This window comes from Homo sapiens, chromosome 17 (genome assembly GCF_000001405.40).
Source record: "Homo sapiens chromosome 17, GRCh38.p14 Primary Assembly".
In the NCBI taxonomy this organism is placed as follows: domain Eukaryota; kingdom Metazoa; phylum Chordata; class Mammalia; order Primates; family Hominidae; genus Homo; species Homo sapiens.
Window position 1 is genome coordinate 10,491,112 of NC_000017.11, and position 27,618 is coordinate 10,518,729.

The following is a 27,618-nucleotide window of genomic DNA, read 5'->3' on the forward strand; positions in this document are numbered from 1 at the left end:
TAAACTTTGGGAGAAAACTGGATATTAAAGTCTATTAAAATTATTTTAAAGTCCAACCCAAGATATAGCATTACAATAGCGAGTTGTTTCCAGTAATCAATAGAAAATAAGTGGAGGTGCATAATGACCCAGAGAGAATCTTCCCCAGGAACTGAGGTCCAGAGATGTATGACTGGATATTTTAACCTACTGGATCATAAGATTAGAAACATTTAATTGTATATTGTTCCTTTTAAGTAGACTGGTTACTATTCTCCAAGACCTTTGTTATGTCTTTAATGGATGAGATACTTGCTATTTTACTTGCTCATGTTGTATGAAAAATTGACATAGGTGGAAGGCCCATGCTACCCTCAGTACAGGTAAACCTGTAGTAGTAATACCATGGTTACAACAATGATGACAATAATTGCCATAGCACTGTAGAAAGGCACAATACAGACATCTAAATATAAAGTAATGAGAGTAGGGTAGTGACTTTAAAAAATATGAAGTGACCTATTGCTATCAATATACTTACAAGGAAGAAATCCTTGTAAAATACAGAAGTAGCCAAAGAGATAGAAGACATAATAGAAACATATTTCTTAACAATTTTTAACTCTTGGTTACCATTTGATTGTGATAACCAAGGAGGGGGCACAATCCAGCAAACTAAACATCTGTAGATAACAAAAAACTAAAAATCTCTTGTATTTACAAAGGGCCAGAAAACCTACAGAACATGCTTCCCTCTCAAGGGATTCTAATCCCAATTAAATGGTTCATATAGTTATAGTGAAGAGTTTGCATTTTAAATATTTTTGACAGTACTTTAATCTAATTTTTAAATTTTTCTCATTTTATGTAAATAACATGTTTTAATTTATTTTTACTCAGCCTTAGGATGAAGGATTTCCTATCATTTTATGAAGAAAATCAATAATTTCATTGACAGAAACTAGCTATGTTTTGTCAAGTAAGGTTTACCAAATATTCTATGTTTTATGGCTTGTGGTATACCTTTAGGTTCACCTACTTCCTATAGGGACGCATATGGTGGCACTTACCGGGTCTGCCTAGCTGCTCTCTATCATGTCTTAATATTGGTGACTAAGCACTTTTCTGTAAAATGTAACCAAAATGTTGAGATGTTTTTCTTTTCTCAGTACTTCTAAAGACAAATTGACATAGAGGGGAAAAAGAGACTCACAAGTTTTTGGCAGATAAATTTTTTATCTCCAAAAGTCATAAGTACAAAATGGAGTGACAAAGATTTTCACATTTTGTGCATTTCTTTGGTCACCTTTCAGCAGTTAGATAAATTACTCTTCACTTATGATTTTTGTGTGAACCTCCCTGCTCTTCACCCTCAGCTTGTTGACCTGGGACTCAGCAATGTCAGCCCGTTCCTCGGCCTCCTCCAGCTCGTGCTGGATCCTGCGGAATTTGGAGAGGTTGACGTTGGATTGTTCCTCCTGTGAATGGAAATCCATTTATGAGGGAAGAAAGTTCAGAATTTTTCCATTCTTAGGTCAGTGGATCTTGAATTTCCTTTTTACTTAAAAATGATTCACTCTAGCAGATATTTTAAGAAACCTAGAGAAATGCTCTTGAATTTTTATTTTTTTTTATTTTTGCATTAGCTTCTTGAACTCATAGATAACAAGGAAGGACAGGTGACCTTTGTATCTGAACTTTTAGAACAGCAGAACATCCTAGAGCTACTACTAAATATGCCAGGTGTCCAGCTTTGTTTTTTTTTTTGTTTGTTTGTTTGTTTTTTTCAGAATCCTGAGAATGGAACCAAACCTTTTAAGAGTGCAAGTATGCAATCTATACCAAACCAAACCATTAAGCTTGAATATAAGTTATTGCCATGTGAGTATAAATTATTGCCACTTAAGTTTAGAAATTAAGCAAGAAGTTTGTTTCCTAAAATAGTCTGAGCTGTCTCTGATTATACTTAAATATATAGCAGAGAATTTGAGCAGGTCAGTTCTAGTTTAGTCTCTGGTAATCATTCTTATTTAAAAGTCTCAGTAAGAACCTCCAAAATGTGGCATTCAAATTTAGAACAGACATAAAGCTTAGAATCATTAAATAGTATAGCTTGAGAAAAAACCTCAGCTTTTCCTCTTACAGATGAGGAAAGTAGGAACTGGAGAAAGATTAAGCAATTTGTCCGAGGTATGGACAGTAGCGTGTGTGTGTGTCCGTGCACACAAGTGTGTTTGTTTTCTCTCCCTCCCTCATTCCCCTCCATTCCCATCTTTCTCTCTCTCTTACCTTAGATGTCAGGGGTAAAATAAAAACCATCAATGAACAGAGGAACTCATTTGTGATATGTAACTATGAATATTTATATGTAGGAAGTTGAAACTATTTGATTATTAATCCAGATGAATCATGGGATACGGAAATGAGATAAAGTGGAGTGTTAAGAATCTACTGATTTGAACATAACCAAGACCTTCTGAGTTTCAGAATCTTATATTTAACTATTTACTTGACATGTTCACTTGTGTATATATGGTATTATGTATCTAAAACAGAATTCCTGTTTCTTTCTTGCCCTGCAATTCTGTTCTTCCCTTTGTTCCCCACTTAAGTGTTACATCATCCACTTGGTTACTCAAACCATAAACTTGATAAATTACTCTTAATTGCCTTTCTTTCATCTCCCAAGTGCAACCTATTAGCAATCTTGTAGTTTCTACCTCCAAAATATGTCCTGAATTTCTCCACTTCTCTCTGCTCCACTCTCTTATCCAAGCCACAGAACCGACCTGAAAAGCTTCCTAACATGTCTCTCTGCACCCACTTGTGTTACCCAGTAACCGATTCTTTACATAGTATCCCAAATGCTCTTTTTAAAAAATATAGATCAGGTAGTGACTGACCCACATTAAAACCCTCCCTGGCTTCCCAGTACCTTATTGTTCTTACCATGGCCTGGAAGACCCTATGAGCTGCCTCCTGCCTGGCTCTCCAGTCCCAGTTGTGGTGCTTTCCTCCTTTTTTTGTCTGCTTCTTGAGCCAGACTCTTTCCCACTCAAAAGCTTTGCATTTGCTCTTCCCCATCTCTAGAACATCTTCTGCTGGCTTGTCAGGTGGTTGGTTTTACCTCAGCCTTGGACCTCCATGTAGCCATTTGTTTTCTTTTGATCCTTCCTCATTTTACTCATCTTTTCTTTTGTCACTTTAACTAAACTGGCCTGGTCATGTCTGAGAAAAATCACCCCAAGGGGTTGTGAACTCACCGCTTCTTCAGCTTGTCTCTTGTAGGATTTCACCTTTGCTTGCAGTTTGTCCACCAGGTCCTGGAGCCTGAGAATATTCTTGCGGTCTTCCTCAGTCTGAAATAATGTTTTCAAGAGTAAGTTTCTTGAAAGTACAAATATTACATTTTGTCATACATATGACTTTTAATCCCATGTGGACTAAAGTGAAAACCTAGACAGGCCATTTTCCTTACTTGGTAAGTGAGTTCCTTCACTTTTCTCTCATGTTTGCGTAGACCCTTGACAGCTTCAACATTGCGCTTCTGTTCACTTTCAACTTCACCTTCAAGTTCACGAACCTACAAGAAGATGGACATTTTAAGGACATTCATTTGACGAATTTCTACTTCTTCACATGACCCACATACTTCTTCTACTCTGCTTTATATGTAGTTTTTAATGCCCTAGTTCAGTTTTCCTTATTATGAGCTTTTGGGCATGAGGGAATAGCTCTCCCTCATCTCAGTATGCCCCACATCATCTAGCAGTGCTAGGTATTCAGAATCGTGTGTTGGATTGGAATGAGATAGAAATACATGCTGATTAGGAGACCCACCCTGGCCTCCAGTTTCTGGATCTGCTTCTTCCCACCCTTCAGGGCCAGCTGCTCAGCCTCATCCAGACGATGCTGCAGGTCCTTCACCGTCTGTTCCAGGTTCTTCTTCATCCGCTCCAGATGGGCGCTGGTGTCCTGTTCCTTCTTCAGCTCCTCAGCCATCATGGCAGCCTAATTAGCAGTAAAACAGAATGGGTTAAGACAGCTAAGACAGCACATTAAGATTTAAGTTTGACCACCACTGTGTTACCCTTCACTCACATCAGTGATGGCCTTCTTGGCCTTCTCTTCTGCATTGCGGGCTTCCTGGATGATGTCTTCCATCTCTCCCTGGATTTGGGAAATGTCTGTCTCCAGCTTCTTCTTGGTGTTGATCAGGCTGGTGTTCTGTTTAAAATGTGAAATTTAGAAATATTAGGCACATGAGAGAAAAATTAGGAAACCTCATGTTCTAATGAACCATAAACTAATTAACTAAATGAATTCATTAATATTCCTCCTTGTTTCATAAATTATCTGAGTTGACATATGTTTAAAAGACAATCAACTGGCCGGGCGCGGTGGCTCATGCTTGTAATCCCAGCACTTTGGGAGGCCGAGGCGGGTGGATTACGAGATCAGGAGATCAAGACCATCCTGGCTAACACGGTGAAACCCCGTCTCCACTAAAAATACAAAAAATTAGCCGGGCGTGGTGGCGGGCGCCTGTAGTCCCAGGTACTCCGGAGGCTGAGGCAGGAGAATGGCGTGAGCCCGGGAGGTGGAGCTTGCAGCGAGCCGAGGTTGCGCCACTGCACTCCAGCCTGAGCGACAGAGCGAGACTCCGTCTCAAAAAAAAAAAAAAAATCAACTATGGATGTTATAGTTCAGATAAGAATATAGATAATCAAAAAAATAAAATATTTTAAACTTTATCCTTCATGAAATCTTATAAATAGATTTCTTAATAGTACCACGATTTCAGCAAGAATGTCATTTTCATACCCTTGTATTTGTTGCTATTCTATTATTACATGCACCTGGGTGTGCAGGAGCTGAACACGCTCACTGGCATCCAGGAGCTCCTGTTCTGCGATTTTCCTGCTCCTCTCTGTCTGTTCCAGAGTGGCCCGCAGCTCCTCGATCTCAGCCTGCAGCAGGTTGGCTCTGCGCTCCACCATAGCCAGCTGTTCCTTCAGGTCCTCCTGGCTCCGGAGAGCATCATCCAGGTGGAGCTGGGTATCCTGTGGAACAAACCGTCATTGAGACACCATGTATTCAGGGTTGCAGGCACCCCAATTGTCCTGGGATCATCTGTTGGACATATTTACCTTGAGGATGGCTTGGGTGTTCCTATAGTTCCTCAGGGCCTCAGCAGCCATGCGGTTGGCATGGTTCAGCTGGATTTCCATTTCATTGAGGTCTCCCTCCATCTTCTTCTTGAGCCTAATGGCATCATTCCTGCTCCTGATCTCAGCATCCAGTGTGCTCTGCATGGACTCCACGATTCTAATGTGGTTTCTCTTCATCTGGTCAATTTCCTCATCTTTTTCAGCAATTTTCCTATCAACCTCAGACTTGACTTGGTTCAACTCAAGCTGGATGCGCAGGATCTTTCCCTCTTCATGTTCAAGAGATGCCTTAATGACAGCAAGAGGTGACATTAGTAGAGTAATGGAAGTGTGTAGTATTCTAGAGATAAGAATGATTTATCATTCATGAAACCTTATTTATAAATAGATTTCTAAGTAGTAGTAAGATTTAAACAAGAGTGTCATTTTCATGCCTTTGCATTTTCTTGCTATTCTCTAACACACACACTGTCTGCCTTTGTGCTGCCATCATACATTTTTATTTTGTTGTTTTAGACATTTCTACAAATTATTGAATGTTATTGTTGATTTTATATGCTTTTATCTCCCTAGGTAGATTGTGCCCTTGAAAGCAGGGCCTTTAACTGATTCATCTTTGTTTGCTCAGTGTGTAGCACAGTTCCTGACATATGGTTATGTTGGTTGTATGCATGATCAGTTCTCCATTCTCATCCCTAGTTCATGGAGCAAAAATTATTTTTCGTTTCTCTTGATTCACCATTCCTTACATTTAATAGACCCCAATTCCTCTTCTAATTGTTTTAGAGTATGCAATAAAATGCTTACCTCTGCCTCCTCTAAGGCAGCCTGAAGTTCAGACTTTTCTTGCTCAACTTGCTTCTTTATTTTTTCCAGTTCATGGATGCGCTTTCCTCCTTCTGCAATCTGTTCAGTGAGATCAGAAATCTCCTCTGTTGGTGAACAAAAAATATAGAAATTTGTTTATAGTTGGAAAAGATTCTTTCAAATCTTTTATTGTTAAAGAAAAGGTAAAATGTTCTCACGTTGCAAATTCTTATTTTCCCGTTTCAAGGTTTCAAGTTGGTCTAAAGATTCCTCATAAGCATTCTTAATCTTAAATAGTTCTGTGCTGAGTGAGCGGGATTCCTTTTGAGAAGCTTCAAGTTCAGCATGAGTTTCTTCACACTTCTGTTTCCATTCTGCCAGGATCTGAAGGTCAAGGAATGGACAAGAAATTTAGTGGACAAAATTTGATGAGATAAAAACCATCTATTCTAGCACCTCTCAGAGTTGAGGTGTTCTGGGACTGAAAAAAAATTATGAATGAGAAGAATAGAAACCATAGGAGCACTTCCCCTCTCCACAGACAGCTGCTGATGGGTTAAGAGCTACTGAGAACAGCCCTCAGATGGTTTGAATTGGGCACACTGAAGGTAGCAGGCTATTGTTAATTCTGTGTTGAAAGTTGAAGCAAAAACTGGAGAGAATACCTTATCAAAGTTCCTTTGCTTTTTGTCCAGGGCGGCACAGGCAGCATTTGTCCTCTCAACATCAATCATGAGGTCCTCAACTTCATTCTGGAGCCTCTGCTTCGTCTTCTCAAGGGAAGCACATTTGGCATTCACAGCTTCTACATGTTCCTCAGCATCCTGCAGACGCTGAGCCAGCTTCTTCCTATGAAATATGGGCAATAAAAGTGAATGGCTGTCAACTGAATTGGGTGTTTCAAAGTGGGTACAAGAGAGTGAATTCCACAATCAGACTTCTTTAATACTTTGCTTCTCAAGCTTGTTTTGTAGGTCCAGTTCTATATTAACTCATTCCCATTATCCTACCACCAAATACCAAAAACAACCCCAGTTTTGGTATTGCCATACTTCATAGAGTGGCTTTAAGGCCATCCATGACAAGCATGAGCTAACACTTTACCCTTCCAGGTAGCTGGTTTATTCCTCTTCTGTAGAATATTAATATCTACCTTGAATTACTGGTTTGTTTTTCTGTGTCTCCACATAATTTTAATCCCCAGAGGGAGAGTCTGTACTGTACTAATCTTTGTATTCTTGTAGGCTGTCCAACATATTAAGGGCTCAAATGTTGGATAAATTGAATTCAAATGAAATATACTTGATTTTGTCTGTCTAATTGTATCCCTTATTTGTGCTAGTTTTTAATTAATCCATTAATAATAAAGAAGCTTTCCCACATCAATATACATTTTGCATCGAGAACTCCTCTCAGAATCTCTTCTAAGGCATCTACCAAAACATTAATTCCAACAATATGGCTGTATATGGTCCCAGAATGTTTTTTCCCTAGTTTTTCATATGTTTTGGGAGCAAGGAAACTTATAGTTCCATTTTAACTAAGTCTGGAACATACTTGGCCTCCTCCAGCTCCTCTGTGCGCTGGATGGCATCTGTCTCATATTTGGTCCTCCACTGGGCAACCTCACTGTTGGCCTTGGACATTGCTCTCTGTAGCTCGGCCTTGGCTTCCTGCTCCTCCTCATACTGTTCCCGCAGCAGGTCACAGTCATGGCGGGAGGACTGCAGGGCATGTGCCAGGGCACTCTTGGCCTGAGAACATAGAGATTGATGACTTAATTTTATATATTTAAAGTGATGTTTGATTCCTGATCTCCTATAGGCCACCAGAAGAAAGTCTGTAAAAGTAAGCGAAAAACAAATAACAAGAACAATAATGACAAGAATGACAAGTGGAGCTTACCTTTATCTCCTCTTCAAGTTGCCTTTTCAGTTCCTCAATCTGTTGTGTAAAGGCTTGTTTGCCCCTCGAGAGCTGTGAAACTAGTGTGTCCTTTTCATCTAGCTGGCGTGAATATTCACCTGTAAAAGACCAAGTCCAGAAAACTCAACCTTACTTTGGAAATTAAAACTCTAAAATAAAAACTTGAGCAGGGAAAGGGAGCCAAGTTTGAAACTTGATGGAGGGCATGGGTGACAACAAACCACCAACATCCGCTTTAACCTTGATAAGCAGATCCATGTAAAAATTAGAAGCATGGAGAAATTTGAGGCAGATTACATGCTTGTGAACAGCACAAAAGATTTCAAGAGATATTTACGATTATTTGATCGTAGTCAAAATTGATGAAGAAACATGAAAAAAATGTAAATCAAGCCAACAAAATATTCTAGTACTTTTTATTTTATGTAAGGCAGTAGTGTTGTCTAATTTGCCTTCCATTGAAAGTTGGTTGAAACAAAGGATTTATACTGTGGAAAATAAGAGACTTTGGGCAATGTCTTCTGTAAGTAGAAATGATAGTCAAGAGAAATTCTGGAAAGATTTTTATATTAAGAAATGATTAAGTGGTCTCCCATCCCCAGAATGAATTGGTTTCTGGATAAGTACTTTCCAAACTAAATGGCATTTACACATGTCTTCAATTTTTTAAGCACCATAATGCAGAAAATGCACTACATTATGTTAGAAAGATAGTAAAACTTTTCCACACCATTTTTATACTAGTTATCTTGAACTTTATCTCTGGCATTTAATAAGAATTATAATAAATATTTATTCTGAACTTTGTTATAGAAAGAATAGTATTTGAATACCAAAAGTGTAGAGTGATTTTCCAACACTTTAACCTGCCTATTACTTTAATAGCCTAAATTACCCATAAAACAATTTCCATTTTGTTACCTCTACCTGGGGAGATACAACTCTGGTAGAAAGTTGGACACGTCAGTAGGAGGGGGAATAAATGCAGAGACTTTCCAATTTCTCTAATCAAAAATCTACAAATCTTACTTGAATGCTTCTCAGCTGGGTTGTGGTCTTGAATATTTCCCTACTTAACCGTGTTAGTTACCAGTAATTGGCAAGACTTCAGGAAAAAGACTGGAGTAAACATTCTTGGACAAGTTGCTTCATCACTACCATAATCCACTGTCTTTAAAATGGGGATAGTATTACACAGACTAATGAGGAAAATAAAGTAACACATAGCTTGCGAAAGCATTTTGAAAAGTGAAAAGAGGTACTGTAAGGATGCACTTTGTTTTTGATAACTTTTTGATTAAAGCCAAGTCTCCCTTAAAGTCTTCAAAAATAGAAGGGCCTGATTCTATTTATCTCTCTCTCTCTCTTTATATATATATATATATGTATGTATGGATATATATACAAATATATATATGGATATATATGTTTCATATATATACACATATATTTCTCTCGTATATATATGAAAGAAAGCAACCTCATGCCAGTGGTCAATAATGTGTTCATATTAGTGGGGATCTCCCAGGGAGGTAGTATATGACCTCAAGTAAATAAATGCAGAGTTTTTCAGTGGATTACACATGCAGGGTGAATTTGTCATTCAAGGTCAGTACTGGTACATGGCCCACCTGATTCTGTTTGCAGGCGCGCTCTCTGTGCTGTGAGGTCATTGATCAGCCGCTGCTGCTCCTCTTCCTTGGTCTTAATTTCACTCAGTTGATCTTCTAGAGCGCGGCACATCTTTTCAAGGTTTCCCTGCATTCAAAAAGTGGTAGAAGGCATCTCAAGTAAGTAGTTGGACCAAAGAAAGTTTCAGTAATCTAAACATTCCATATGAGCTGCAGTACTCATTTATTTTGAGAAGAAACTATCTTTACAAACAAAACCAGCAAAGGTCTTAGATAGTGAATGGAAAGACTAATAAGATACATAGTCCAAGCATACAGCCACTGAATTACTTGTTAATCTAACTACTTTACTAAGTTGTACTATACGTGATATGAGAAAAAGGGTGCCTGATTTAGTTCATGAGACGTTTTTGAGATACAAATCATATTTGTGCTAAAGGGAAAAACAAAAAACCAAATAATCAATGTGAAGTGTTGATTGTACCTTGGCTTTGGAGACAGTCTCCATGTTACTAGCAAGGTCATCGATCTCCATCTTCATCTCACTCTTCTCCTTCTCCAGCTTCTGCTTCACTCGCTGCAGGTTGTCAATCTGCTCCCCAAGCTCGGCCACACTATCTGCATGCTTCTTCCTCAGGGTGGCCGCCGTGGCTTCATGCTGTAGGGTGGCCTCCTCCAGGTCCCTGCGCATTTTCTGGAACTCAGCCTCCCGCTTCTTGTTCATCTCAATCTGGGCTGAGGTGGCCCCACCGGCTTCTTCCAGCCTCTCGCTGATCTCCTCCAGCTCCCGGGAGAGATCAGAGCGCTGCTTCTCTGCTTTGGCCCGGGAGGCCCGCTCTGCCTCGATTTCCTCCTCCAGCTCCTCAATGCGGGCCTGGGAATGGTGAAAAATATTAATACGAACTCAACTTCTTGGTGTCAGTAACTTTTCGATGTTAAATTAGCCTGGCGAAAATCATTTAACGTACTTGTAACTCCTTGATTTTCTTCTGCAGCTGCATACCAAGGGCTTGTTCATCTTCAATCTTGCTTTGCAGACCGCTCATTTCAAACTCTTTCCTATTAGAAAAGCCCTTTATGTCAGTCTCAGAAATATTAAGAGTAATTTCCCCACAAAACTGTTGACCTAAAACTGCTTACTTTTTAAGCTTTTCATCAAGTTGTTGTTTGTCATTTTCTATATCCATTGTGGATTCTTGAGCCAATTTTAGGTCTCCCTCTAGTTTTCTCTTTGCTCTTTCTAGATCCATCCGGATTTTCTTTTCTTGTTCCAAAGATCCTTCAAGCTAAAAGTTAATAATCCATGAATATGGTTCTTAGAATGGTAGCACCTTTTGTCCCAGATGAAATTTTTAAACATTATATCTATGCAGCAAACTATTTTTCTATGAATTAGGCAGATTTGTCCCATTGATTCCATTCTCCTTGGTATTTACCTAGTCGAAAAAGTCATCGTTTAAAAGGTAAAATGTGCCTCTTTGTCACGTTGTTACAATAAGTTACTAGTGAGACATTATGCCTTCTGCATCTCCCCACTGGAATCCAATACTTTTCCAGCTGGGATGGACACCATGCTAATACTTCCAAACCATGAACTTTTTTAACGCCTCCCTTACTCAGGCATTTTCAGTGGGTTCTCTATTAGATATCAGATCATGTTTAAAGCCAAATTTATCTTCCACATTCCTAATTCTGAGTGTCCTTTGTTTCTGTGAGAGAAAACCTTATTGATCATTACAACTTCTTTGCTGCTGCTATGCTGCCTTCTTAGAACACCCTCCCTCTTCTTTCTTTTTGCACATAGCCCCTTGTCTTTCAAGCCCAGCGAAAGACCTGTTTTGCTTGTATAGCTTTTCTTTGTGAACACATTAACCTTCCTTTCCATCAATTCTTTTTACCCGTATTGTCTATTATTCACAGTTAACTTTCTTTATTGATTTTAAAAACTTTATTGTGTGTACATCTTAGACCTTGTAATAGGGATGATGTTCCATATTCCTCATTCATAGGAGGCACTTGATAAGTACTCACTATATCATAACGACACAAACTTATGCTTACTTAGTTTGTTACAAAATTTAAAAAATCATTTTTATATAATGTTAGGCTTACATCATCCACTTGTTGTTCAAGTTTGATTTTAGCTTTGGTCAGGGTGTTGACTTTGTCCTCCTCTGCCTGCAGGTCATCCAGGGTCTGCTGGTGGGCCTCCTGGAGAGCCTTCTTCTCCTTGGTCAGCTTAGCAATGGTTTCATCCAGACCCGCCATCTCTTCTGTGAGGTTTTTCACCTACAAAGGTGAAGAAAGCAGCTTAGTTGCTCTAAAGCACCTTTGTTGGGTGGCAGAACCTCTATACAGTACTGTAGAATATGATTGATACCTTGTTTTCTGTGGCATGTTTCTCCTTCTCAACCTTGGCCAGTGTCAGCTCAAGGTCATCAATGTCTTTCTTGAGTTCTGAACATTCATCCTCCAGTTTCCTCTTCTTGGCTGTCAGCTCAGCATTGATCTCTTCCTCATCCTCAGCTCTCTCAGTCACCTCTTTGATTTTGGCTTCTAGCTGGATTTTGGTTTTGATTAGCTGGTCACACCTTTCCTCTGCATCAGCCAAGCTGTCAGCTTCCTGAGAAGAGGCAATAGATATTTTAGATTTTATGAAAATTCCTAGACATTTTCAGATTTTATTAATATTTTGAAACCAAACAAGTAAATTGTTTTAAGCCTTCAGGTTAATTTTTATTAGCTTTCTACCATTCAGTAAATATTGGGCACTTATGAGTCCGGTAATAAAAAAAGGAACTTAAGTCATAGTTCCTGGTGAAATTATGTTACAATTATATTTGTTATAACATATATAATATGTTGGTATATAATTTCGGGTCAGCCAATTTTCTTTATTTAATATTTATTTTCAGGAGCATTCAATATATGAAAAACCAATAGACAAAAGGATTGGGTTTCTAGCAGGTTGCTGGGAGAGAAGGGTACTATCAGAAAAGTGCCTTAACAGGAAGAAATGTCATCCAGTGACAGAGTAGACAAAGGGAATGGAACATGTTCAAGGTGATGCTTAGAGAAGTAGCAAGCATATTTCTCATAAGAAGAAATAGGAGTTGAGATAAACTGTGAGGGAAGGACCATGTCTCTCATTCAAACTTACATCCCTGTCCGGGACTTCACCCAATATTTATTAGTGGATAGTTGATAGAATATTGTTAAACAGAAGTTTTATAATACTATCCTCAAAGGAGAGGAGTATTCTTGGATAGATTATCTCCTGTTTCTTGAAGGCACGATGAACCACTCCTCAATGTGGAAAACCCTGATCTATACAAAGTACAGGAAAGTCACAGTACCAACCTAGGTATTTGCAATTCATCATACTTTAGATTTTCTAAATATGTGTCCCAAACTTGTAGGCACAATGGGACTAGTCAATTCCCTTTCTGAATTCAGAGAACTGGGATGGTAACTTTTAATGTTTCTGCTGTTGGTTTTGGTGGCAGCAATTGAACTGTCTTGTTATTTGTGTTACAAAAATGGGTTAGATAGTGGCTTTTGATCAAATATTTCTCTCCAAGCCTCTGGATAGTTACTGGGACATTAGAATAAGAATATCAACCCTATCTCTCATACTTTGCATAAAAATAGACATTATCTGTGGAAGGCATTGCCATTATCCTTACAGAAAGCATTGCCATTATTCTTGCCATAATCCTACTCTTTCAGGTACTAAAAGTTTCTAAAAATAAAGTTGAGCACAAAGTTGCTCGGGGATTGTAGATACAAAACTCAGAATATTGATTTCAAGTTAATGTGTTTTCATCAAAGTCTCCTTCCTCTTCACTGACAATATTTTTCTTTTTCACAGCTCTTATTTGCATTTTTCAGTAGGGAGAATTTAGGGAGCAAAGCTCACTTTATTTCCTGTTCACATTCTGCTGTAGAAAACAACAGAGGGGAAGGAAAAATGCTTTTATTTTTCCCTTCTTGACATCAAAGAATCCTACCACAGTGATTTTTAGTAATATTGTATAGGGAATTCTATAGAACATTCTAAGGAGTTGTGGATTATTAAAGATTCATAATCTGTCCCTTATTTGGTAGAATCTAGATCTCTCCTTAGTGACCACTGAGCTGAAGTTTTAGCATCAGATTGCAGGAAATGACTTCGGGATACTCACAGCTTGAACCTGGAGTTGCAAGTCATTTTTTTCTTGCATCAGAGTAACCATTTTTTCTTCCAGCTCTTTCCTTTTTGCCTCGGTCTTAGCCAGCTCTTCTTTGGTTTTCTCAAATTCTTCCTTCATGTTGGCCATCTCCTTCTCTGTCTCTGCACTTTTGAGGAGGGGTTTGATCTTGAAATACAGCTTCATCCAGGGCCAGTGCTTCACATTCATGAAGGCACGGACATTGTACTGGATGCAGAAGATGGACTCTCTGTCATAGGAACAGAAATGTCCAAATCAGATTATAATAAGAAGCAGAATTAAAACACCTAAGATGATGAGGTTAAGTAAAGAATTCTTATTAATACCTTCTTTCCACCATTTTCTGGTACTCCACTCTTGCCAAGAACCCTCTGCACATGGCCTGGGTTCGGGTAATCAGCTGGGCCAGCTTCTCATCTCGCATCTCCTCTAGGAGCCCCAGAAGACCAGCTTTGAAAAAGACCTATGTGTGGGAAGAATTTCAGATCAGAAAATTTACATAAAGTTCAAAGGGACAGGAATAGCATCAGGTAGGATTTACAGAATATTACCTTGGTGTGACCAAATTTATACTGGGTGTGGTCAATGTCAATGGACCCCAGGAGCTTCTCTGAAGCCTTCTTGCTATCGATGAATTGTCCTTCAGGGATAGCACTTGCATTTAACACCTTGTATCTGTTTAAGCCAGACAAAAAAATGATATGGCTGTTGCCACAGACAAGAAATCTTCCTGTCTGGCTATAGAAACAACATAGCCACTGGGTAATCTGAAATAAACAAGAAATCATATCTACCCCTTTATCTATCCTCTGTTTATTCAAAGGACTTCAGAGTTTTCTTATGTCAATATGGAGTTTGTTAAGTGAGTTTATCTTCTCTTCAATTTTAAGAGGAGGTATAAAGGATTCTTTCATTGAAAAATGTTTAAAAAGTAATAAAAACCTCTTAAAATAATTTACAGCAAAAATGTCTGACCTCTGTTTGAAGTCTGCATAAAGGATTCTGCTTGGGAAGCCTTTCCTGCAGATGCGGATGCCTTCCAGCACACCGTTACACCTCAGCTGATGCAGGACAAGCTCATGCTCCATGGCACCTAAAAGAATGAATCCACATGCCATACTTCGTGGTCTATCACACACACACTGGAGCTTGTCTGGATATCAGAAATGTCTTACCAGGAGTTTTAGTTTCATTGGGGATGATGCACCGCACAAAGTGGGGGTGAGTGCTCCTCAAGTTGGTCATCAGCTTATTCAAATTCTCCTGTGGAACCATGCGAGTTTATACTTTAAAAAATGTACTGTTTTCTACATTCATATTTATAGACATAATTATTGAGATCTATGACAGTGGTTTAATTCTAATGAATAGTATCCAGATGAAAATTTTCAAAGAGTTATCTCTGGAATTTCCACATTCCTAATATGTCCCCCTGTTTTCTGTTGGTGTGCATTAGAAGCATAGTTTTCTACTTGCTGTTGAAGTGACTGTTCGCTGCTGTTTAATTTCCTAGTATATGTTTTAAATTCACTATGACACTCTAAATATATGGAAATACTCTACCCATTCTTTTTTTGCCTAGATACATGGTCTGATTTTACTACTAATCAATGCCTTCCTCTAATTCTCCCACTTTTTTCTTTGTCTTTTCTTCTTCTTCTTTTTTTTTTTTCTGAGATGGAGTCTTGCTCTGTTGCCCAGGCTGGAGTACAGTGGCGCAATCTTGGCTCACGGTAACCTCTGCCTCCCGGGTTCAAACAATTCTCCTGCCTTAGCCTCCTGAGTAGCTGGGATTACAGGCACATGCCACCACCCCCAGCTAATTTTTGTATTTTTGGTAGAGACGGGGTTTCACCATGTTGGCCAGGCTGGTCTCGAACTCCTGACCTCAAGTGATCCACCCGCCTTAGCCTCCCAAAGTGCTGGGATTACAGGCATGAGCCATGGTGCCCAGTCACACTCACTTCTTTCTTTACCTGACTTTCACTTGTATCTGTGTGTCTATCAAATGTGTATTCCTTGCCATAGATATAGAGCTGTGTCCTCCTACTTATTCCACAGAAAGTGGCCTTTATTAATGCCTATTCTGGGAATTGGTAGAAAACTGACAGCCATGTTACCAAGCGTGTAAAGTTTTCCATCTTTTGAAAATCCTGGTTTTTCCGAATATCTACAGCATCAGTTATTAGAGATGGAATCAGAAATGGGATTGCCAAAAGAAAAATAGACTTTTCTTTTTTTCCTTGAGATGGAGTCTTGCTCTGTCACCCAGGCTGGAGTACAGTGACATGATCTCAGCTCATGGCAACCTCTGCCTCCTGGGTTCAAGCGATTCTCATGCCCAGCCTCCTGAGTAGCTGGGATTACAGGTGTGCACCACCATGCCTGGCTAATTTTTATATTTTTGGTAGAGATGGGGTTTCATCATGTTGGCCAGGCTAGTCTCGAACTCCTGGCCTCAAGTGATCTGCCTGCCTTGGCTTCTCAAATTGCTGGGATTACAGGCGTGAGCAACTGTGCTTGGCCGTAATTTTTTTAAAAGTGCTATTTATTATCACATCTGGTTTCTTATTTCCTTCTTTTGACTCAGGCTCCAATTCCCACCACTGTTCTATCTTATAGCTTTCAAAATCTACTCATTTCGGTTCTATACCAATGTATCTTTAAGCACCTAAATCACTTGGAGGCTCCCAAAGCCTCAAGCAAGTCTCAGCTTTACTTAATCCTATCCCACTGGAGTCTTTTAAGGGTTAAATGACCTCATTCTCAGGCCCCAGAATCGAATTTTGCCGTCTAATACTGACTTCTGCAATTCGCTTTCATCTCTCCTGACTCCTGTGTCTTCTGAATAGTGAGGTATCTCTTCCAAACTATCCCCTCTTCCAAACTATCCTCAAGCTCCCTAAAACTCAGTCTTACCACTACCAGCTGAACTATCTCGTTGAGTCACATCAGTTCTAGAATCCTTGCAAGGTTAGTTTTTTCCCCCACACCATAGAGTACATTTAATATCCTAAATCTAATTAGACAGAGAAAATGAAGTTTGTACCCTGAAGAGAGCAGACACAGTCTGGAAAGAAGAACCCTTCTTCTTACCACCTTTCTTTCCACCGCCAGCCTCTGAGGGGAAAAAGAAAGCAATCATAGGACAGCCTTTCTCTGGTTATGGTTTTTTTTTTTTGTTTTTTTTTGTTTTTTTTGACGAAGTTTCACTCTTGGTTGCCCAGGCTGGAGTGCAGTGGCGTGATCTCGGCTCACTGCAACCTCCACCTCCTGGGTTCAAGCGATTCTCCTGCCTCAGCCTCCCGAGTAGCTGGGATTATAGGCACCTGCCACCATGCCCGGCTAATTTTTGCATTTTTAGTAGAGACGGGGTTTTGCTATGTTGACCGGGCTGGTCTTGAACTCCTGACCTCAGGCAATCTACCCACCTTGGCCTCCCAAAATGCTGGGATTACAGGCACCGTGTCTGGCCTCTAGTTATGTTTTATACATTAGGTAAAAGATTAATTATATTGATAATTACCTGCTTCCGCTCCCGTTGCCCCAACAAAGAGGAGAGCCAGAGTCTTCATTGCAGACTTCTGGTACAGCCCCACCACAGTCTCATTCAGGGGGTCCTTGTTCTTGTCAAGCCAGCCGGCAATGTTGTAGTCCACGGTGCCAGCATAGTGAATCAAAGAGAAGTGGGCCTCAGGCTTGCCTTTGGCAGGCTTGGGCTTCTGGAAGTTATTGGATTTTCCAAGATGTTGTTCATACAGCTTGTTCTTGAAGGAGGTGTCTGTCGCCTTGGGGAACATGCACTCCTCTTCCAGGATGGAGAAGATGCCCATAGGCTGGAAGAATGAAAAGAAATAAATGCCACTTGAATTCTGTCTGCTTATAGAAATAACATTTAACATTAATAATTATCCCATCTGAGTAAATTCATCCTTTAATTCTACAGAGTTAACGAAAACTCGTTCCTTTGGTCAGAAGTCATTAACTTCACAAATATTTATTGGGTGCTGATCAGGAGCCACGTGCTGTATCAGGCTCTGGGATATGACAGAGTAAGACAGATGAAGGCTGTGCTCCTGTGGAGTTTGTGTCTTTACCCCAAAGACCTGAGAGCAATATTTCTCCAAGTGTGACTTGCGAATTAGCTGCATCAGAATCACTTGCTCAAAATGAGGATTCCGATGTTTCATCCTACACTTACCAGAAAATATTTCTAGGGGTGAGACAAGGGAAACCTGCAATTGTACCAAGTATTCTTGGTGGGTCTTTCGCACACTGGATTTTAAAAGCCTCTGCTTTAACGTACAGTAGTAGAAATTCATACTTTGAATGCAGTAATAATGACTTTAGGATGACAAAAAACAGTAAGTAAAAAATATTCTAGTCAGTGCACTTTTTGTAAGGAAAGATGACTTTAAATGTAAGACTTTGTATTGCAAACTGTGGGTAAGTGTTGTGTTCTGGACTCTATAGAAAATATTTAATCTCCTTTTACCAGAATATCTACTTCAGAGTTGGCAAAATAAGGAATTCTCCTCATGTTTTTCACAAGTAGAAATATTTAGCCATTGCCTATATCAAGATTTTATGATTTTCTTTTAAATACTGTACAGCAGTATGATCTGTGGTCTGCAAAAAGCAAGCCAACCTTCTCGATGAGCTCGATGCAGGCAGCCAGGTCCATCCCAAAGTCAATGAACGTCCACTCAATGCCTTCCTTCTTGTACTCCTCCTGCTCCAGCACGAACATGTGGTGGTTGAAAAACTGTTGCAGTTTCTCATTGGTGAAGTTGATGCACAGCTGCTCCAGGCTGTTGAACTAAATGAGTTGAAAATACAAATTAGCATTCAATTTATAATGAAATCTTCTCTTTGAAAGGGGTGTTTTTTTAGTTAGCCAAATTGCCCTCTTAGGATGGTATCGTTTTGTCCTACCTATACCTACACAATGAAGTTTTTGCTGCTGTTAGCATACTTGTTAAAATTGTCTCTTCAACACCTGTCAACAAGCTCTGAATGATGCTTTCCTATGCAATAAAAAAAAGTTGTTTGGAGCTGGAGGCCATTATTCTTAGCAAACTAACGCAGGAACAGAAAACCAAATACTGTATGTTCTCACATATAAGTGGGAGCTAAATGATGAGAACACATGGACACATAGAGGGAAACAGCACACACTGGGGCCTATTGGAGGGTGGAGAGTGGGAGGAGGGAGGGGATCAGAAAAAATAACTTATGGGTACTAGGCTTCATACGTGGGCGACACAGCTTACCTATGTCGCAAACCTTCACATGGACCCCTGAACTTAAAAGTTTTTTTTTTAAAAGTTGTTTGGTTTTTATAGTATTTGTTTTTGTTAGTCAGAGGTTTCTTAATGATTATGATTATGTTGTAAACTAGCTAAATTTGCTAGATCTGAGCCATTATGGTCTGTATGTTGTCCTTAATAATAAAAATTCAACAGCTAATATTTGGTGAACATTTACTCTACAGTAGACACTATGCTGAGTGCCTTGTATAAGTTACTGCATTTAATCCTCACAGCTACCTTTGTAGGTGGTATCATTTGCTCATTTCATGGGTGAGGAAACACTATTAGGGAGGCTAAGTAACTTGTGTAAGACCATGGTAGTAAGGGTCATGGCAGGAACCCCAACATTTTGATGCCAGAGCCAGTGTTTGTAACTACTCCTAGAACTTGAGTAGACCTGCCCTGCTTTATTATTCGGGACACCTACATAGAAACACAATTGAGGATGCCCTTGTTTAAGGGCATTATCACCATACACAAAAGTCAAAGGAATTCTATGAGGGGGATGAATCTGGCAAGCATATGCGAAGTGCCAGAAGCCAGTCACAAAGACCACATATTATCCGATTCCATTATAAGACATGTCCAGAACAGCCAAAACCAGAGACAGAAAGTAGATTAGGGGTTTCTGTGGCCTAGGGGGAGGACAAAATAGAATTTCCTGTTGGGATGATGAAAATGTTCTGAAATTGTTATGATGATAGCATGTACCTGTGAATATACTAAAAACCATTGAATTTTATACTTTAAATAGGTGAATTGTATGATATGTTAATTATATCTCGATAAAGCTGTTACTTCAAAAAAAAAAAAAGAAGCAGCTCAAAATGATTGCAAGTACCCTGTCATTAGTTCTCTTATTTTAAAAAGTGTGGATTGCTTTTTCTGTTCCTGCTTGATGACAGATTATTCCTTTCTTTCCACGTTGGCTTGGAAATGTCTGGAAGTGCTTCCGTTTCTAAAATTTCATCCAGTTTCAATCAGTCCGTACACAGATAAAAGTTTAGAATTGGGACCTCTAAATGAGACACATCCGAGATACTGCTGTCAAGTGGAGGACTGCAGTAGCCCTATTTCCTAAGCTGTGTAGCAGGTATTCTTCCTTAGGCAGACAAATTTGAGTTTATTTACGATGCCATTTCTATACTCAATACCTGGGTATTGCAGAGGTTATCCTAATAATTAAACACATTTCATTTCTCGGCAAACAGAATCTCAAAGTCTTTCTTTTAAAGACTTTGTCTTCTCCACTGCTATCTTTGATTCTATTGTTGCCCTCAGTATCTTACTGTTTACTGAGTGCTGCCTGCATGCTTGGGGACTGTGTTAAGGGCTGAAAATTCAGAAATCTTGAAACTAGCAGACAGATCTCAGAAGTGAATCTGTGATCTGGAATGTTAAGTGCTTTACCTACAGGTCCTAGTTGAATTTGCCCAATGATCAATCAGGTACAATTCTCATTATTACACAGCTAGTAATTGGCAGAGCAGGAGTTTGAATCCAGGTCTGTCTCATTCCAAAGTTCACTTCCTTTCACGGTCTTTTGGTGCTCTTTCATGTGTCAGTTAAGTTTAAAGTGCAGCTATTTTTCATAGACCCTTTCCATAAGTGACTACAGGCATGCTATATGACTGCAGCAACAAGCTTGCTTGTTGGAAACTTTTTTGGTACAATTTTTCTGCTAACTCACATCAAAGATCTCAAAGCCAGCAATGTCCAAGACCCCAATGAAGTACTGCCTGGGCTGCTTGGTGTCCAGCTGCTGGTTGATGCGGGTGACCATCCACAAGAACATCTTATCGTAGACAGCTTTGGCCAGAGCACCCACTGCATTGTACACCTTCACAGATAAAGTTTGTTGGTGTTATTAAAGACATGTCATGAAGGCCTGGGATGTGTGTGATTCATTGAGGTCATGCACTTACCTGCTGCACAGTTTGACCTTTGGTGACATACTCATTGCCGACCTTGACCCTAGGGTAGCAGAGGGCTTTGAGCAGATCTGCAGAGTTCAGATTTTGGAGATAGGCTGCCTTGTCAGCAACTGCAGAAACATAATTCAGATACCTAATATGACTTACTCTGGGACCCACAGTTCAAAGGGGCATAGTATTGAGTAAATAACTTTGTAGAAAGTCTGTGTGTGGGTACATCTGAGTATGTCCATCAGGAGCTCAGCTGTAAAGAAGACTTGAATTTTGGAATGGACATTTTTGCCTATATTCTCTCATTAAACCCAGATGGAGATTCATTTGGTACCTTCAGTGCCATCTGGCTCAGCTTGCTCCTCACGCTGCTTTTGCTTGAATTTCATGTTCCCATAATGCATCACAGCCCCTGTGAGCTTATAGATGGACACTCTTTCATCTGAAGTAAAGCCCAGAATTTCAATGGCACTCTACCATGAGAGATGAGAAGACAAAGATTAGGGCACAAGAGAATTTATACTGTATCTTTTACACACATATAGATGGCTGTTATTGCCATTCCCATGCATAATGGATTTTAAATTAAAATTCATGTATAACTTACATCTGTAGCCATCAACTCTTCTTGGTCATCAATGCTGGGCACTGTGATCTCCCCTTGACTGACGAAGGCATAATCGTATGGGTTGGTGGTGATCAGGAGCATTTCTGGGTCACAGAATTCAGGGCATATGTTTTACATTAGAAGATAGTACAGTGACAATCTTCTAGCTATGAATTTATTTCTTACCAATTAGATCTGGCTTCTTGTTAGACATGATCTGATAAAAAATATGATAGCTTCTTTCAGCCTTTAGCTGGAAAGTAACTCTAGACTTCTCCAGAAGATCTGCAACGGATAGTAGACATCAGATTATGGGGAAAAATTACACAATGTCCTGGAGTGATTTGAGGACTTGGGATCATTAGCTAAATCTCACTGGCCTCTTGAGATTTCAACTGAATGTTCCTGTGAAGTACCACATATTATGTCTCTACAAACACTATTGCAGTTCCTCCTGCCTCCTGGGAAAAAAGTGAAATATGCTTGGCTCAAGATATTCACTTCTCATACAGAAGATCCTTGACATTTGGAATATAATTGAGTCCTGAGACTCCCTCTGCAGGGTCCTGTCGCCATATAATAGAGGGACTACTAAAAGCAACAGTATTAAAGCTCAGACTAGGAATAAATCACATATCCTCAATCCCTGGACAACTTGTTTACTTCTAGTGTTAGTTTTTTCTTAAAAAAAAAATTGAAATCATTCTGAGGCTGGAATACTTTGGACATGCCCAGCAGTTCCTGGCAGTTCCCACAGAAGCATTACCTCATGACTGGAGTGGGTAAAGCATACTGTGGGCTATGGATAAGACTGACATTAACCACAAGCATGTTTGGCAGCAGACTGGTGCTTTACAAGCTCCATGTTCAGCAGGAGCTGCAAAGTGTTCCTCCAAACCAATATTTGTCATTCTTGGATTCTATTTAGGAGGTCCTGTTACTCACATGTTTCAATATCAGCAGAAGCCAGTTTCCCTGTGGTACCGAAGTGGATCCTGATGAATTTACCCTTGTAAGTAAAAAAAATGATGTTATACCCAAAGCTTGAAGTACGTAGTGGGGATGCCACTGAAATAATTCAGACATGCTTTCTCTGGCATCTAAAGGCAGAGAAGACCCTTTGGCAACCAAGAGACTTACAAAGCGAGAGGAGTTGTCATTCCTCACGGTCTTGGCGTTGCCAAAGGCCTCCAGTAGGGGGTTGGCACTGATGATTTGATCTTCCAGAGTCCCCTGCAAAGGCAAGAGCAGTCCTTGCATCTGGGGCTTGGGAATTTCCTACCTGAGAGTCCCGACAGAGCCTGGATTCTGACTAACAATCAGACTCACCTGCATTTTGCCAGAAGTAACTTCTTCCTTCTTCTTCTCCCCAGTAACTGCAATTGTTGCAAAGTACTGGATGACACGCTTGGTGTTCACAGTCTTCCCTGCGCCAGATTCTCCGCTGTCAAAGACCAAACGTATGAGAAATTAAGCACTGTGACAAATGAAACTACAACTACCTCATGGCTTTGTCTTTATATCTCTATTAGAGAGCCTTTTACATCTTTCTTTTCAGCCTACATATAGCTCGTATTATTTCTTTTGCTTTGCACTGGCAAGAAGTAGAAAAAATCAGTCATTGTTCATTTAACACGTATTTCTTGAGTGTTTATAATGTGTCAGCTTTTTTTCTGGGTGCTGAGGCCTGGGCTTGAGGGGTCTGAAAAGCAGCTACTCAGCACCTCTGTAGTGAATGGAACAATTAGTAGGAAACTCTATGAAACGTGCATGTGTTTTTCCATTTCCTCGGACTAGAGACATGGCTCAAGTTTGGTCTTTGAAGGAACAGACATTCTCTAAGTGGGCCTTAAAAATGAACCACTAGTAGTATTTCCAAACTGTTGTACCTTTTGAAGGCTGTATGCTGCTCATTGCACTATACTGGGTTCCAGCCCAGCTCATTTTACACTTTCTACACACCAAAAAGTTCTGTGGAACTTTCAAGACCAGCAAATGAGGTGATTTAGAACATTATTATTTTACATTCTAATGCAATGTAAACCTTATAATAAAGCTAAACCAATATCTAGTTCCAGGTTGATCATTCAGTGCTTTAGTAGAGAACATTAACTAATTTCTTTTTTTGGTTTGTCATTTTTCCAGTAAGAACAAACTGCCAATAAATCTCAGAATAGGAATACATACGTGATCAAGATAGACTGATTCTCCCGATCTAGAAGAAAAACAGTGGAAAATCAGCATATGTATCAGTTACACAAACAAAACTTTCTATAGTGAAACAGGGCATTTGAGTATAAGTGTCATGTATTCAGTGGGGTTTTTCAATATATTATGGTAAAGTTATGGGTGTGTCCTGCTGGTTTAATATAAAGAGCAGTATTCTCCAAAGCTAGATACATTCCGTAGTTGTCATCTGTAGATTTCAATGGCATGCTATCTGCTAATTAATGCATATAGCTGAAAAATGCATAATATGCTAAAGGCTTGGACTATTATTTAATAGATTGAAATAGTGTTAATCAAGCCATGACTGAGATTTTGTTTCTAAATGTGTCAGATGACTTCACAAAGAGAAAAAATTTACTATCTTATGGCCACAGACTAACTTCAATATAGCCCTAACTTCGATCAGCCTTCCCCAAAGTGTACCATTGTGTTAAAGAAAGATGAGGTAAGAGAGGATGCCTCAATCAAAATAAAATCTTTCTAAGGGGGGAAAACAATTTCTGTTTATATGTGTGTAGCCCCAAAACATCATCTTCATTCAAACAGAGGATATTATATCTGAGATGTACTCTGATAACTTTAAAGAGATGACAGTACTTGTAAAAGAATCTAATTTATAATTAACAAGAAACTGAGGCACCAAAAGGATTGAACTCCTATTTTTCATTTCTATTCAGATAATACATGATTTATATGATTCAGTTGTTACTTAATCTTGGCTCTTATTACTTAAATATATAAAATAAATTGTGTGTTTCCAAGCAAGGAGACCATAAACAAATTAAACTTAATGGGATGGAGTAATAGCATGGCCTAGTAAAGTCAGTGAGGTGTAATCAGGAGAGCTGTGTTTTAATACGAGCTTTGACAGTATATACTTCTCTGTGCTTTAGTCACCTCTGCTGAACAACCAGGGGCGTGAATTGGGTTTTTTTCTAAAGGTCTTTTTTTAGTTCTAATATTTTGTGATTATGGATGGTAAAATAATTCATATGAAAACCAGCTGAGCCACTCACCAGTCAGCATGAACTGATAGGCATTGTCAGAGATGGAGAAGATGTGGGGTGGGGCCTCCTGGCGCTTTTTGCCTCGGTAGGCTGTCACCACCTCTGCATTATACACTGGCAACCACTTGTAGGGGTTGACAGTGACACAGAACAAGCCTGAGTAGGTCTGCACCCAAAACAAAAGGGAGGAACAGAATTATTTGATGGGGACCTTAATCATCTACTACTTTTCAAAAACTATTAACTACTCTCATGAGTAGAAGACCGTGAGAAAGAACTCACGTAGATCATCCAGGCTGCGTAGCGCTCTTTGAGGTTGTACAGCACAGCAGGCTCGTGTAGATGAGTCATCATGGCCATGTCCTCGATCTTGTCATATTTGGGAGGGTTCATGGGGAAGACTTGGTCATCTTTCACTGTTACAGTCTGTCCAGTCAAACAAGAGAGGCCAGATCAAAAAGTAAGTGCTAACTTAACCCAAAATGAGGCAGAGTCTAATCAGCTCCAGGTGTTTTTACTCACAGCTCCAGCTTCGGTCTTAGCTGTCACCTTCCCCCCTTCCCTGCTCTGCACTGTTGCTTTCACAAAGGACTCCTTAGGGTCCACCACAAAGACTGATGTCTTGGCATCAAAAGGCTTGTTCTGGGCTTCAATTCGCTCCCTTTCAGACTTTCGGAGGAAAGGAGCAGCCTCCCCAAAAATGGCCATCTCAGAGTCGGAACTCATGGCTGCAGGTTATTGATGGTAGCCCAGTTAAGGACCCTGGCTGGGAGAGGAAGAAAAGAAATTGTAGAAATTAAGAAACTGGACCATTAGATTCACATTTAAAACTTTAAAAAAAAATTTACTGACCAATTGAGTGCTTAGCATTGCATTGGGTATGACCACCTCCCTGGCTTGGTTGAGGATAAAATGTCAGTCTCCTTGTTCTGTGCCAGTGCTGACAGACACTTAATCATGCATTTGGAAAGAGACTGTTGTTTCTGGCTCACCTATTGCAGTCTCTTAGCTGCTTTCTCTGTTTCATTTGTTAGGTATATTAATCTTTATAAGCTGCCTATCATTGGCTTATAGAGAACATAAAGCTATAATGGTGGCAGGATAGTCTCCAGTTCTTTCACTTATAGTTTTTATCTTCCCAACTGGATTATAAGCACCTTGCAGGCAGGGAGCACTCTTCTTTTTATGGTATCCTTCACACCTCTTAGAACAAATGCTGGACACAGAGAAAGGCTCAAAGCTGGCTTGGTGAATTAAAAGAACAATAGGAATATGTTGCTATAATTTTAGGAACTATTCTGTACATGACAGAAATATTTTCATTATAAACTTGGGAGTTACGAAGACTTCCTAATATACAGGAAAGCAGAAATGTGTGGCTCTTTGTTTTGCATTGTTAAAAAATGTTCTGTTATCCATCAATTTCTGTTGTCTCTGTATAATAATTTTGACAAACTCAACTTCTTCACTGATCTTTAGCATTTCTTAAATATTTATTATAAAACGTTATTACCTATGTTTTCTTGCTCTATTATTAACATTTTTATAACAATTTCACAAAACTTGTTCTTTTCAGGATCCCCCTCTTGCCACATTAGCTAGCATTCATTAATGCTGTCAATAATCTTCATGTATATTCTACTTTATAATAATAAAGATACCTTTTCCAGGGAAGCTCATTTGGATACATTTCTCCCATTGAAACTATGTTGACTCAGATAACATAATTAAAATGCTTCATCTTGCTGAATATGCTGACAATCATGTTTCGTATTGTGTGTGTGTATATATACATATGTGTGTGTGTGTGTGTATATATTCGTTAATTTTTATTTTATAGATTGTGAAACAACATGCAGTTAAGCAACTTTTTCCAAGGCAAAGATTCAGACCATTCTATTTATCCAATTAGACATCATCTCTCATAGGTTTTTATATTTATAGTGCTGAGGAAAAGCCATGGTATAGAAAATTTAAATTTTCTCTATAATTGAGTAACACTTTGAAATGTTACATTGCATATTGTAATGCAGTCATTTAAAAGATAAACTACAATGCTGGAAATAGTGAATGAAATTCACTATTGTGAATAAAATTCCCAAGGACTCTGAGAAAGCATTTTCATATATTGCGAGGGATATGAGTTAAGGAGAACCAGTTTCTAAAGTCATTCTCCATTTTTTAAGAGAAGCGTGATCAACCATGAAATGGAAATGATTTTTTTTATCACTTCCCTCACCCCGCCCCTCACCACTGTCCAAACCACTGCAGAAGATTCCTTGCACTCTGTGAGGAATGAGAAAAAAAAAAATCAGAATCTTACCGTAGAGATGCGACCTTAAAGTGGATCAGAACTGTAAGAAAAAGAGCAAACCTCTTCTGATTAAATTATAACAATTCCCGATTATAGAACAATTCTTAACTGAGAACCAGGAAATGACTGGGAAGACTACAACATCTAATTAAAATTGCTACGGAGTAAGCTGGTGCTTCACTGGCAGGGCTGCCAGGGACAGTGGGAGCCAGGATGTGTGGCATGCACGCGGGCAGCCAGACATCCCTTACCGTCCTCCAGACAGAGCCCTGTCCTCACACACACTTACCTTGAAGCTTTATGAGGAGAGACAAGTCATACTCATTCCAAGGGTACTTTTATAGGCTCAAATATGGAAAACACGTAACCTCCTCCTCTTTCTTAAAACATATTTGGCAAAACATGTTTTTGGCATTGAAGGTCTCCAAGCCTAATTCCCCTCATATTAAAGATGTTTGGATATAATTAGAAATATTTCCTCTCATATTGGGTTAAGTAT

At 39.4% G+C, this 27,618-nt stretch overlaps 1 protein-coding gene and 1 long non-coding RNA gene across 3 annotated transcripts in view, besides 3 other annotated features; one reads left to right on the forward strand and one right to left on the reverse strand.

Moving 5' to 3' along the window:
• Window positions 1-27,618, forward strand: part of MYHAS (myosin heavy chain gene cluster antisense RNA) — a 242,409-nt gene that overhangs the window by 107,980 nt on the left and 106,811 nt on the right. The gene's annotated exons all lie outside the window — the stretch shown is intronic.
• Window positions 662-1,861: an enhancer, noted in NCBI's record as "MED14-independent group 3 enhancer chr17:10395090-10396289 (GRCh37/hg19 assembly coordinates)". NCBI's record gives its function as "activates an origin of replication core promoter dependent on BRD2, BRD4, P300/CBP and CDK7 cofactors, and independent of MED14, by STARR-seq in HCT116 cells {active_cell/tissue: HCT116}" and the evidence as "EXISTENCE:reporter gene assay evidence [ECO:0000049][PMID:35650434]".
• On the reverse strand, window positions 1,196-27,431 carry MYH1 (myosin heavy chain 1). 2 transcript variants are annotated; one of them, XM_017024675.2, is made up of 40 exons: window positions 27,409-27,431; window positions 27,129-27,159; window positions 25,328-25,567; window positions 25,088-25,231; window positions 24,815-24,971; window positions 23,757-23,784; window positions 22,899-23,013; window positions 22,710-22,802; window positions 22,515-22,578; window positions 21,756-21,854; window positions 21,570-21,673; window positions 21,297-21,435; window positions 20,963-21,081; window positions 20,728-20,877; window positions 18,374-18,544; window positions 17,252-17,561; window positions 16,775-16,845; window positions 14,901-14,988; window positions 14,701-14,818; window positions 14,277-14,400; window positions 14,052-14,188; window positions 13,699-13,954; window positions 11,895-12,137; window positions 11,627-11,803; window positions 10,655-10,800; window positions 10,483-10,573; window positions 9,999-10,388; window positions 9,515-9,641; window positions 7,863-7,981; window positions 7,515-7,711; window positions 6,623-6,806; window positions 6,176-6,341; window positions 5,958-6,082; window positions 5,130-5,438; window positions 4,839-5,042; window positions 4,081-4,206; window positions 3,820-3,990; window positions 3,458-3,562; window positions 3,243-3,338; window positions 1,196-1,457 (listed from the first exon to the last, which is right to left on the reverse strand). In XM_017024675.2, exons 3-40 carry the CDS (start codon window positions 25,529-25,531, stop codon window positions 1,305-1,307), a joined length of 5,820 nt encoding a protein of 1,939 aa, XP_016880164.1. In that variant the 5' UTR covers window positions 25,532-25,567; window positions 27,129-27,159; window positions 27,409-27,431; the 3' UTR covers window positions 1,196-1,304. The 2 variants fall into 2 exon arrangements, with proteins under 2 accessions (XP_016880164.1, NP_005954.3); NM_005963.4 differs by having other exon boundaries at window positions 25,328-25,571.
• Window positions 5,182-6,381: an enhancer, noted in NCBI's record as "BRD4-independent group 4 enhancer chr17:10399610-10400809 (GRCh37/hg19 assembly coordinates)". NCBI's record gives its function as "activates an origin of replication core promoter dependent on BRD2, P300/CBP, MED14 and CDK7 cofactors, and independent of BRD4, by STARR-seq in HCT116 cells {active_cell/tissue: HCT116}" and the evidence as "EXISTENCE:reporter gene assay evidence [ECO:0000049][PMID:35650434]".
• Window positions 13,551-14,750: an enhancer, noted in NCBI's record as "MED14-independent group 3 enhancer chr17:10407979-10409178 (GRCh37/hg19 assembly coordinates)". NCBI's record gives its function as "activates an origin of replication core promoter dependent on BRD2, BRD4, P300/CBP and CDK7 cofactors, and independent of MED14, by STARR-seq in HCT116 cells {active_cell/tissue: HCT116}" and the evidence as "EXISTENCE:reporter gene assay evidence [ECO:0000049][PMID:35650434]".

Excerpts from the sequence above, each read along its gene's own strand:
- MYH1 (XM_017024675.2), bottom strand. The coding sequence starts at position 25,531 with ATGAGTTCCGACTCTGAGATGGCCATTTTTGGGGAGGCTGCTCCTTTC. Across the intron at positions 12,138-13,698 it reads TGCAACTCCAGGTTCAAGCT|GAAGCTGACAGCTTGGCTGA; the intron begins GTGAGTATCCCG and ends GCCTCTTCTCAG. Across the intron at positions 5,439-5,957 it reads CTGCCTTAGAGGAGGCAGAG|GCATCTCTTGAACATGAAGA; the intron begins GTAAGCATTTTA and ends GCTGTCATTAAG.